Raw genomic sequence first — 13,723 nt, forward strand, 5'->3', positions numbered from 1 at the left:
TCTGATATGAACTATCCAAAGTTAGCCCAGACCCTAGAGGTTAAAGTCTCAGTCCCATAAGACTGCTCCCACTTCAGACACCAGCCATAAATGGAGTGACCAGGATACTCAAATTTCTTCCCCGCCGACTACAATTTTGGGAGTTCCAATCACCCCTCCCCAGGTTCAATAGTTGAATAGAATGACTCTCAGAACTCAGGAAAACACTATTTCCAGTTTGTTATAAAATATGCAACTCAGGAATAGCCAAATGGAAGACATGCATTGGGCAAGATACATGATTAAAAAACTCAGTAAATATTGATTGCATTAATGACATAAATGCCACTGCCTAACAACAGAGTATTTCTGAATATTTTAGTTGTGTATGTGTGGTTAATTGGTGGTGGTGGTGTTTCTACAGCATCTAAGGTGAATTGCCCCTAGTCATCACCGTCCTATATCTCAGTGTACCTGACTTGTCACAACCTCTTAGAAATGGCTGTCCAGGGGTTCATACAGGTGAGTCTTTCCTGGAGTCAAACCAGAGCTGACAACTATACATAAATCCTGTGACCTTGACCATTTTAACATTTGGACTAGCTAAATCAGACAATAGATCTTTACCTTCCAAATGTTCAGGCCTAAAATGTTAATGTCAACTCCTAAGTGCGTTGTGCATTAGAAAGCTACAAAGAGTTAATTCCAAGAAGCCATTCCTATTAATCTTGGTGTCTGGATAAAAACTAAATTTGGGACCTCAATTACCTGATCGCGTCCCATGTAGATTTCGCCGGCAGCAATATTGATGAGGGCAGCAATCATTTCTCCCACTTGGAAACACAATTGCAATCCCATCCTAAGCAATCTGTCCTTCAAGTGCATCTGGAAGTGGGCATTATTTTCTCTTTTGTTTTGTTGTAGAGAGAGTTTTTCAGTTCCAGAATCTTTAACCCTTTCTGCTCCATAGCACAGCCCTACTTGACTGAAGAAGAGAAATCATACCACTAACATTTCAATTCTTTTATAGTTTAGGAAGCATTTAATGTTATCCTGTCTCAGTGAATCCTGATCATTGCTCAGTAAATACGTTTGGCTATGCTCATTCATCAGAGGCGGGACCTGAGGTTTGAAGATGTTAAGTCTCCTGCCTGTGCCATCCAGTTGGTAAGGGGCAGAGAGAGAGTTGGGACTCAAGCTGTGCTAGTTTCTCTGGGTTTATAGGCTACAGAGGATGTCATTAAATAGGTCCAGGTGTTTTCAAAAGGCCACAGACACAAAAGACCAAAACTTCAGTGGCTTGTGGGGGCGATGAAGGGCAAAGTCTGATTGAAGGACTGTGAGGGAGGAGAGAGAAGGATTTTGAAGAGGGGATTGGAATGGGCACTATTGGCAGATGATACAGTGATACTGCCATCAACTGCTGAACATCCCAGCCTCTCCAGCTGTGGTTTGTGTCACTGACCTTCATTTATTTATAGTTCCCCTACACCAACCCTTGTCAATTATCTCCCTGGTGAATTATTGGTGATGTGTTTTTGATCCCAAACCACCTGGCGCATATCTGGTCATCTACCTAGACAGTGGGCATGTGGTCAGAGAGCATGAATTCCTCTGAGTAGGTCTCTACGCAAAATAAGTCATGGAAGCAAATCCTTATTTAAAAAATAGTCAAGCGGTGGTGGCAAAGGTCATGCACACTGAGAAAGATGAAGAGCCTTCTCCAAGCCATGCTCCTGTCATTAGGACCAGCTGGTAACTGGTCCTGTATGAAGAAGAGAGAGCAGTAGCTTTGTGAAGAGAGCAGCTTTATGTTACCTTCGCTCTTTCGCATTTTATCATTGAACAAAGGGAAAGAGAATGAGACCTGATGGAATTCGTCCATTCATCTATTCTTTGCATTTAATCCTGTATTCCTTCACTCAATAACTATGTATTGGCTGGGCATGGTGGCTCATGCCTCTAATCCCAGCACTTTGGGAGGCCAAGGCAGGTGGATCACCTGAGGTCAGGAGTTCGAGACCAGCCTGGCCAACATGGTGAAACCCTGTCTCTACTAAAAATACAAAAATTAGCCAGGTGTGGTGGTGTGTGCCTGTAATCCCAACTATTTGGGAGGCTGAGGCAGAAGAATCGCTTGAAGTTAGGAGGCGGAGATTGCAGTGAGCCGAGATCGCACCACTGCACTCCAGCCTGGGCAGCAGAACAAGACTCCATCTCAAAAAAACAAACAAACAACAACAACAAAAACTATGTATTAAGCATCTACTGGGGTCTGTGCTGAGCACTCAGGATGCAGCAATGAGCAAACCAGATACCATCTTTGCCTTCACGAAGCTTGGAGTCTAATAGAGAAGGAGAAATAAATAATTACAAATAAGGTAACGAGCCAGTAGGAAAGTAAACAGGACCCTTTGCTAGAGAACACTAAGAGACTTACTTGGATTCCATGGTCATAAAGATGTCTTTTTGAGGATGTGGCAGTTAAGTCCTGTTTTAAACATGAGAAGGAGCCCATTTCGAGGTAAAGAAAGTGGCTAGGGGATGAAGAGTTTTCCATGCAAAGCACATTCTAAAGCACAAAGGAACAGCACATGCAAGGGCCCTGAGGCAGCAAAGAGATTAGGGCCTTCAAAAAAAACAGAACAAACCGGCTGGGCATGGTGGCTCATGCCTGTAATCCCAGCACTGTGGGAGGCCGAGGTGGGCAGATCACCTGAGCTCAGGAGTTTAAGGCCAACCTGGCCAACATGGTGAAACCCTGTTTCTACTAAAAATATGTAAATTAGCTGGGCGTGGTGGCACATGCCTGTAGTCCCAGCTACTTGGGAGGCTGAGGCACAAGAATTGCTTGAACCTGGAAGGCGGAGGTTGCAGTGAGCCAAGATCACACCACTGCACTCTAGCCTGATCGTCAGAGCGAGACTATGTTTCCAACAACAACAAAAAAGAAACTCGTTACAGCTAATGAGTGAGGAGGAAGAAGAATGGTAGGCAGGGGCCAGACCATTGCAAGGCCTTGCTCCTTTCTCCAAAGCTGCCTACTCCCCACTAACCCATGAGACTTTGCAAGAGTGTGTCCAGTAGAAAAGGGCCAATCAATTTTTCACTCCTTCATATTCTATGTCTACTCTTCTACCATGGTCTCTTGACTTTGGGCTTGACCTTGTAACTTTGTTTTAGCCAATAGTATGTGAAGGTGGCAAGGGCTAGAAATGTGCTTATGCAGCTGGGAATATCCCTGTGTGTTTCTGCCTTTTCCCATTAAAAGAACATGCTTTGGGGAGTCCCAGGAAGATGACAGACATCTGGAGCAGACCTGGACCCAACCTGAAGCCCAGAGTCAAGCTCCGCCAAGCCCAGGTTAAGGTAGTATGCCATTGAGTTCTTTGGTTTTTACTGAGTTTGTTTTTTTCCATTGAAATTTTGGAGAGGCTTTTTACACAGCATTATTCTTCCAATAGCTGACTAATACAAGCAGGACAATGAGAACTTCTCTAAGAAATGATTGACACAGAAGGCATATGTAGTCTGGAGAATGGAAGGAAAAAAGGAACCTAAGAAAGGAGAGTAAAATGTGTCACATGACAGAAAGATGAGATTTGTTCCATGAAACCCTAAAGTAGATGTCTGAGATCCATGAGCGAATATACAGGGACACAGGTTTAGCCATACCTAGGGAAGAATTTTTTATCAACTAAAAAGTCAGGAAAATGAAATGACTTATCTCAGAGACTGTCTTTCACCACCGGCGAGCATAGAAATGATGATTAGTGCCTACTATGTGCCAAGGACTCTCATATTTTTCTTTTATTTTGTGGTAATTCTCACACACACACAAATTTTTGAGATAAGAATTATTCTACAGATAAGAGAATTGAGATTCAGAGAAGATAAGAAACTTGCAAAAATCTATATCTAGCCAGTAAATTGCAGAAGCAGGATTTGAACTGAACCTAGATCTGGCTGGTACTTAGATCCTGCTGATTTAGAAGATGGTTTCCAGGAGATCCAAGTGCTGAATGGAGAGTGATACCTAAAGCCTGGGTCCATAAGCCATCCTGTTTTGGGGATAAAGTTTTCACTTGTCTTTGGCAAGTTTTCACTACTGGGGAAAGAGGAGGAGTGGGGAGGGGAAGGGAGAAAGGTAATGAGTTTTTCATAATGCTGAATTGTTCCATTTAAATGGCTTTCTTTTATTCTGACATTCTATCTTTTCAATTATTCTTTAAAAAAAAATCCAATAATGACATTTAATGATCCAATAATGTTCCTTGTCAGTGTCCCTGGATATTTTAGAATGATATGGGATGTGAAACCTGAAAGTCTAGAAGCCACTATCTGGATGACATCCAAGGACTCTTCCAGCCTAAACTTCTGTAACTTTTCTTTCTTAACTCTAAAGGTCAAATTACAGGCTCGAGGGCCTCAGGAATCAGCCCCGGCCTGCACTTGCCTCGAGGCTGAGGGAGGACTGCAGGGTTGGCTGCCTTTTCCTGGCTGGAAAAGGGGGGGAAAGCCTCCCGGATCGTTCGCTGCATGAGAGCTGTCTGCCTTTCTCTCAGGTCACCCATTTTGCTGATTCAATGGCAATAGGTCAGCGATGTCTCATCTGTAATGGTCTTTGTCATAACGTTATGACAGAAAGGGTGTGGCTTGTCCAGGTGCCCTTTCTGAGATGAGAATGCCTGTTAAGCAGCTAAGCTGAGCTGTGTTTATGCTGATGAGCCCTCGCAGCAGAAACCTTAACCCCCACCCCTCAACAGAGTCAAAGTGGTCAAAGGTGGTAGGGTGGTGGGGAAGGGGGGGTGGGGTCAGCTCCTTAGCCACAGGTGAAGCTAACTAGCAGGGACTCCTGGAAGGCTGCAGTCCTGACTGATTTTTTTTTTTTTTTTTTTTAAAGACAGGGCCTCTGCCCAGGTTGGAGTGCAGTGGTGCAATCACAGTTTACCGCAGCCTTGATCTCGCAGGCTCAGATGATCCTCTTGTCTCAGCCTCCCGAGTAGCTGGGACTACAGGCTTGCACTACCCTGCCTGGCTAATTTTTGTACTTTGTGTAGACATGGGTTCTTGCTGTGTTGCCCAGGCTAGTCTCATGCTCCTGGGCTCAAACAATCCTCCTGCCTCAGCCTCCCAAAGTGCTGGGATTACAGGCATGAACCACTATTCCCACCTCCACCCTACCAGTTTTTTAAAACAGCTTCATTGAGATATAATTTACATATCATATAATTCACCCATTTAAAGTGTATGATTCAGTGATTTTTAGTATTAATGTATTCACAAATACACGCAACTCTCACCACAGTCAATTTTAGAACATTTTCATCACCTCAAAAAGAAACCCATACCTTTTAGCTGTCACTTCCCCTCTTGTTCATTCCATACCCTCCTGCCTCTGGCAGCCACGAGTCTAGTGTCTGTCTCTATCAATTTCCCTATTCTGGACATTTCATATAAATGGAATCATATAATATGTGGCCTTTTGTGACTGGCTTTTTTCACATAGCATGATGGTTTCAGGATTTATCTATGTTGTAGCATGTCTCAACACTTCATTCCATTTTTTTAGACTTTATTTTGTAGAACAGTTTTAGGTTCACAGCAAAAATGAGCAGAAAGTACAGAGAATTTCCTCAACCCCACACATGTATAGCCTCCCCCACTGTCAACACTGGCACCAGTGGTACATTTGTTAGAACTGGTGAAACTGTATGGATACCTTGTTATCATTTAAAGTCCGTAGTTTACATTAGGATTCACTGTTGGTGGACATTCTATAGATGCTGACAAGTGTGTAATGGCATTGGCGGGTATTCACCATTACAGTATTACACAGAATAGTTTCACTGCCCTAAAAATCCTCTCTGCTTTGCTATTCGTCCCTCCTCCGAAGTAACTGTTGATATTTTTACTGTCTCCATAGTTTTGCTTTTTCTGGAATGTCATGTAGTTAGAATCACGCAGTATGTAGGCTTTTCAGATTAGCTTCTTTCACTTAGTAGCGTGTCGATAACATTTCATTGTCTGGATATACCACAGTTTCTCTATTCACCTACTGAAGGACATCTTGGTTGCTTCCAAGTTTGGGCAGTTATCAATACGGCTGCTATACTTTATTTCTTTTCTTGGTTGAATAATATTCCATGGATATAACATTTTGTTTATCTACTTATAGTTGATGGGCATTTAGGTTGTTTCCACCTTTTGGCTATTGTGAACAGTGCTGTTATGAACAAATTGAGCCTGTTTTCAAACAAATATTGTTTTCAGTTCTTTTGGGCATATACCTAGGAGAGCAATTGCTGGGCCATATGGTAACTCTATATTTAACCATGAGATGAACTACCAAACTGTTTTGTAAAGCGAGTGTATCATTTCACATTACCACCAGCAGTATATGAAGATTCTGATTTTTCTACATCCTTGTCCAACGTTTTTATTCTAGCCATCCTAGTGGGTGTGAAGTGGTATCTCACTGTGGTTTTGTTTTGCATTTCCCTGATGACTAATGACACAGAGCATCTTTTCATATGCTTATTATCCATTTGCATATCATCCTTGGAGAAATGTCTATTCAGATCCTTTGCCCATTTTTTAATTGGGTTATTTGTCTTTTTATTATTGAGTTGTGAGAGTTTTTTTTTCTTCTATATTCTGGATACAAGTCTCTTATCAGATATATGATTTGCAAATAATGTCTCCCACCATCCACTCTTACACAGTGCTCTCCTCCCTCTTCCTGCCCCCTGCAAAGCTGGTAACACAGTAGGAGAGTTTTGATTTGTTTTTAAAAACTCATCTACTTCTGGATATATACCCTGTATTAGTCCATTCTCACACTGCTATAAAGAACTACTTGAGACTGGGTAAGTTGTAAAGAAAAGAGGTTTAATTGGCTTATAGTTCAACAGGCTGTACAGGAAGCATGGCTGGGGAGACCTCAGGAAACTTACAATCATGGCAGAAGGTGAAGGGGAAGCCAGCACATCTTCACATGGCAGCAGGAGAGAGAGAGCAAAGGGGGAAGTCCTATATACTTGTTAACCAGTTCTCAAGAGAACTCTGTCGGGAGACAGCACTAGGAGGATGGTGCTAAACCATTAGAAACCACCCCCATGATCCAATCACCTCCCACCAGGCCCCACCTCCAACACTCGGGATCACAATTCAATGTGAGACTTGGATGGGGATACAGAGCCAAACCATATCATACCCCAAAGAATTGAAAACAGAGACTCAAACATAGAAGATATCTGTATACCAATGTTCATAGCAGCATTATTCACAATAGCCAAAAGGGGAAACAACTCAAATGACCGTTAATGGATGAAAGGATAAGCAAAATGTAGTATATACATACCATGGAATATTATTCCACTTAAAAAAACAATGAGCCTGGCATGGTGGCTCATGCCTGTAATCCCAGCACTTTTGGAGGCTGAGGCAGGCAGATCACTTGAGCTCAAGAGCTTGAGACCAGCCTGGGCAACATGGTGAGACCCTGTCTCTACCAAAAATACAAAAACATAGCCAGGCATGGTGGTGTGCACCTGTGGTCCCAACTACTCAGGAGGCTGAGGTGGGAGGATCACTTGAACCCAGAGGGTGAGGCAGAGGCTGCAGTGAGCCTACATTATGCCACTGCATGCCAGCCTGGTGACAGAGTGAGACCCTGTCTCAAAAAAAATTTGACACATGCCACAACATAGGTAAACCTTGAGGACTTCATACTAAGTGAAATAAGCCAGACACAAAGGAGAAATATTGTATGATTCTACTTATATCAAGTACTTAGAGTAGTCAAATTCCTAGAGACAAAGTAGAATGGTGGTTGTCAGGGGCTGGTGAGGAGGGAAGGGAGAATGGAGAACTGTTTAATGGTTATAGAGTTTCAGTTTCAGAAGGTGGAAAAAGTTCTAGAGCTGGAGGGTGGCAATAGTCATACGTCAATGTGAATATACTGGCAGTGGTTCAGGCCTGTAATCCCAACATTTTGGGAGGCCGAAGCTGGTAGAGCACCTGAGCTCAGGAGTTTGAGACCAGCCTGGACAACATGGCAAAACCCCATATCTACTAAAAATACAAAAAATTAGCCGGGTGTGGTGGCAGGTGCCTGTAATCGCAGCTACTCGGGAGGCTGAGGCAGGAGAATCACTTGAACCCAGGAGGCAGAGGTTGCAGTGAGTGAGATTGCACCACTGCACTCCAGTCTGGGCGACAGAGCAAGACTCTGTCTCAAAACCAAAAATAAAAACAAAACAAAACCAGCTTGGCCAACATGGTTAGACTCCGTCTCTACTAAAAATAAAAAATAAAACATTAGCCGGGCAGGGTGGTACACACTTGTAATCCCAGCTACTCGGGAGGCTGAGACAGGAGAACCACTTGAACCCAGGAGGTGGAGGTTGCAGTGAACCAAGATCGTGCCACTGCACTCAAGCCTGGGTGACAGAGGGAGACTCCGTCTCAAAAAAAAAAAAAAGGTTAAAATGGTAAATCTTATGTATATTTTACCATAAGTATCAATTAACCAAATGAAAGAAAACTGAAAAGAAAAAAAAACCCAACTCACCCATGGACTCTGCCCAAGAAGCATGCCTCTCCTGCAGCTGGCTCTGGGTTGAGCCTGGGGGTTCCTCTAAAACGAATGTGGACAGCCGGGCACTGACCTGAGGGCTGCCACCTGCCAAGACTGAGAACAGGTGGTAGAAGTGATGAGAATGCGGAAAAACAAGAGAGGCACTCTGAGATGGAGGGGCCTGGGGAGGCCATGCAGATTGTTGGAACGAGATCTGGAGTCAGCTTGCCTGAATTTGACTTCTGGTTCTACTATGTGACCTCAGGCAAGTTACCTTGCCTCTCTGGGCCCCAGCTTCCTCACCTGTAAAAATGGGGGTGGTAATAATTATTTCTTGGGAAGATGTGTGGCTCAGAGAGAGAGTGTGCCAAGAGATGGCCAATGTCAGGAACGCTGGCCTTGGAGAGAAAGTCCTGGAGGAAGGTTTCTACTCTGCCCCATCCTTGCTGTCTGTCTGATGTCGGTGGGCAAGATGCTCGATCATGCCAGACTTCAGTTTTCCCATCTGCAAAGTGGAGATAATTATACCAGCCTCTGTTATATGCTCTGAAGTTATGGGCTGGATAAGAATACCTTCTGTAAATGGAACAGCCTTATATAAAAGCAAAATGGAGGTTAAAGAATAAAGATATCCTTGGCATTATAATGAACTGTTAACCCAGGGTATTATAGTTAATTAAAAATGATCCTGCATAATATGTAGCCATTAAAACAAATAATTATGCAGACTGTGTAGAAACAACACCATTTATAAGAGGTAGAATGCTTACAAAATTATATGTACATGAGGATCAGAACTGTGTAGAATTATGTATAATGCAGACAAAGACTAGAAAAGGATCACGAAAAATCTAATTGTGCACAGGCATGGCGAAGATGATGGGTGATTTAAACACATTCCTTTAAAGTCATTGTTATATTGTTTTGACAATAATATGATTTAAAAAAATAGATGTGGCAGGGGGTCATATGGGGACAGCCTGTATTTGAATTCTGGCTTTGTGTGCTGCTGGGAATGAAACCACATTTTTTTGCTGGGTCGTGTGGTAATTCAGGAGTTTGAATTGCCCCTGCAGAGCCCTGCCCAACCTTCCCTGTCTGTCCTGTTCTCAGTACCACCCGCTCTTCCTCTGCTGATTTCAGGACTGACAGATGTCAACACGAGATGGACCAAGCATCCGTCCTAGCACCACTGCTGCGGAAGTGGGCCATTTCACATTCTGACAAGTTACTCAGCCTCCTAAGCCTGGATCCTGTATGTAAAATGAGGAGACCTAGTCCCCGTCCTCACATTCCCAACTCATAGGGTTGGGAAGAGGATAGAATGAAATAGTAGATGTAGAATAACCCAACTCGCTGGATCCCACCAAACAAATATGGGCATCACTGCTCCTATTTAACTGCAGAGGGAAGAGGGGCTCCACATCAGTGCAGCTAACTGCAACCGAAGCCAGCTTCCTTCTCATTCCAACCCCTAGCTATATTTGAGAAATCTCCAATTTATTTATTAACATGCTTACATCCCTTCAAGTATAGAACATATGGGATATAACTGTGCTTTCATTTAAGATGCTTTTTTAAGTCAAATAACAGAGTCCCCTGTTCTTCAATCCCCAGAGCAACCACTTCCCACCTTTTTAGATGTTTTTCTCTGAGTGTTTTCTGCATGTCTTTAAGTAAATACTGCTTTTTTAAATTTTTTACTTTTTTATTTTTTTTGAGACGGAGTCTCGTTCTGTTGCCAGGCTGGAGTGCAGTCGCATGATCTTGGCTCACTGCAACCTCCCCATCCCAGGTTCAAGCGATTCTCCTGCCTCAGCTTCCCAAGTAGCTGAGACTACAGGGGCACGCTACCACACCCAGCTAATTTTTGTATCTTTAGTAGAGACGGGGTTTCACCACGTTGCCTAGGCTGGTCTTGAACTCCTGACCTCAGGTGATCCACCCACCTCGGCCTCCCAAAGTGCTGGGATTACAGGTGTGAGCCACCGTGCCCGGCCGGTTTTTTATTTCACATTTTAAATGCCTACTCATTGACTTCCTGCTACACTGGAAAATGACTTAGCTCACTTACACCCCTCCTCCATCTCCCTTCCTCTCATTCTCCCAACACAGCTATATCACTATTTTGGCTACAATTGTCACCTTCAGAAATAGGCTTAGACTGCCTCTTGTTCATCTACTAGTATCTCCTGACACCGCCCACCAATGCTTTATAAGAGGCGGCTGGTGCCTCAGCCTTCCTTCCTTCTCTCCTCCTTCCTTTTCTCTCCAAGCCTCTGTCATATATACTTTTACATTCTACTGACTGAAAGCTTCCTCATTCTGTTTCATAATTCTAATTAAGTCTTCTATGCTTTGCTTATAGATTGATTGTAAAATCAATAAACAATGCTTACATTATTGAAACCATACTCCTATGGTTCTTTGTCCAGCCGGTATTATATCTGTTTATGATTGCTTTCTTGTGATACTTTTCTTTGATCTGGAATTGCAAAATGCTTTTTTTTTTTTCTTGCACTATTTGACTTTATCATGTTCTCAATTTCCCCCTGACTTTCCTTCCCAGTGGGCATTCTATTGAGTTTTTTTTGTCCTCCCCAAGGTCTACCTTCTACAGCCCCTGTCCTCCTCCTTCGGTCTGGACAGTTATCATTTGGGGACTTCACGCCATGCTTTCCTGGGTTCAGACACAATTTCTGAGACTTAGGTTGCCATCTAGATTTTTCTTTATTTTGCCAGAGCATACCCACTAAGTGACATCCTACACAGAAGTGTGTGGTAGGTAAAACTTCTGAATCCTTTATGATTAGAAATTTACTTATTCTGCCTTTCTACTTGACTGATAATGGGGCTGGGCATTGAATCCTCGGTTGTAAATAGAATTCCCTTAAAATTTGAAGGCACTGATCTATTCCCCTCCATATTGATTTTCCTATTGAAAAATCCTGATTCTTGCTTTACATACTTAGAAGCAAAAAAGAAAAAATATTTGGGCTTGGCACAGTGGCTCATGACTGTAATCTCAGCACTTTGGGAGGCTGAGGCGAGTGGATTACATGAGGTCAGGAGTTCGAGACCAGTCTGGCGAAACCCTGTCTCTACTAAAAATACAAAAATTAGCCTGGCATGGTGGCGCACACCTGTAATCCCAGCTACTCAGGAGGCTGAGGCAGGAGAATTCGCTTGAACCTGGGAGGTGGAGATTGTAGTGAGCCGAGATCATGCCACTGCACTCCAGGCTCAAAAAAAAAAATTTTTTTTTTTAAAAGAAAACACGGATTCATTGTTATTATTGCTTCATAAGGAATGTGACCTTCCATGGGAGTTTTATGGTGCTCTTTTTATCCCTGGTGACCTCTTATTTCATAGTGTAGTTTCTAGGTGTGAGTCTTGTTTCATTCATTGTCCTGAGATCTCTTAATCTCAGCTCTTCTGTCTTTCACCTCTGAGAAATTTTCCTATATTATTTCTTTGATAATTTCCTCTTCTGTTTTTCCTGTCCTCTTTTTTCAGAAACTCCTATTAGTTGGATCCCAATTTGATCCTCTATGCCCCTTATCTATTGGCTCATTTTTTTCCATCTCTTTGTCTTGATATTTTCAAATTTAAATATTTAAGTGTGAGAACAATTTATCTTTTCTGGCTGCTACATAGAGTCTTACATGAAAATGTATTTCTTGTTATATTGTTTCTGTAATAACAGTGACAGACATTTCAAACAAGTTTCACTCAATGGTTTAAGAATTACCATAAAAGAGGAACCAAAATTGCCTTAAATGAGCAAGGCTCTGAAAACTTAACTACAAAATGAGAGTAAGGGCTTTTAGAGGCATAAAAGGAGGATTGCGGTAACTATGCTAGGCGAGGCAGGAGCCAGCTCAGGGGAAAAATGCTATCTTAGCGACTGGTTGCAGGTGCTGCCTCAGGTCAACAGGCTTGTGGGCATGCTGTCCCCTGCTCCCCATTCCTGCCAAGAAGTGGGTAATGTCAGCAAGTCAGGTAGTGGGGCTGAAAGAGTCAAATCCCAAATCTGTGATAGGGTCTTCTCTGAGCAAGGCAGCTGGATCAAGAGTGCCGGTGGTCTTCTTAGCAAGGAGACAAACCCATCAATGCACTAGGCAGGAGGAGGCAGGAGCCAGGCAGGCAAATGAAGAATTAGGCTCAGGCAAGGGCTCAGGGCTCAGCTTGAGTGGACGACAGGGGCGGCTAATAAGTGGACAGAGGCATTGAATGCTGACGGGCACTCAAGGCCATGTGGATCAAAGGAAGCAGCACTCTCCTGGCCCATGGGGCTGAAGAAACTCTTCCCCAACGTATGCCTTCTACCTCCAGGCCACAGGATCTTCCTCCAATGAAGATGAGGCGGCAGAGTAACCGGATACAACAGAGGTTCAAGGGCCTTTTTGATGTTCTGGGACCCTGCGTGTGTGACTTACCCTTAAGCCCATGTTCATCCTTTGTGCATGCTCTGATGTTGCCCAAAGCATCTCTGCAACCCTGTGCCATTTGCAGTCAGGTTTCATTGTGAAGGAATAAGAGGCAGTACACACACACACATGCACCCCATCACCACCACCACACCAACTCGTTCTTTTCTGCACACACAAGTGTGTGGAGAGTCTGCCCATCTCCGTGCCTGCACAGAGTGTGGGCTGGAACCCCAACACTGAATTGGATGCCCTTCCCGTTTCTGTGTCCCACAGGGGAGCAGACATGTGCACAGAGGAGGGCTGGCAATTCCTTCATGGTTCAGCTGCCTCCAAATGAGATGTTTGGCAGGAGAGGAGGACTGTCGCCTGTTGTCCCTATGTTCATTGTTTATTTGCTAAAGGAATAATTTAGGTAATTAGTTATTCATGCAAATGTTTACTTACTCAAAAAATGTTTGGTAGTTCCAATAATAGTAATAATAATTAGCACTCACTGAGTGCACACTATATGTCAGGCACAGTGCTAAGCCCTTTAACCTCCACTGTGTGCCAGATTTTAGAAAGATAAAGAAGTAATAACAATATTCAAGGAGTAGCGAGACCAGTGATCAACATTGCAACCAATTTTTGAAACCTTCACAACAGCCTTGGGAAGCATTATTCTTGAAGTGTAACATAATGGTTAATAGTAAGGCCTTTTCTAGCCGGGTGTGGCAGTGTGCACCTGTAG

This window comes from Homo sapiens, chromosome 17 (genome assembly GCF_000001405.40).
Source record: "Homo sapiens chromosome 17, GRCh38.p14 Primary Assembly".
NCBI classification, from domain to species: Eukaryota; Metazoa; Chordata; class Mammalia; order Primates; family Hominidae; genus Homo; species Homo sapiens.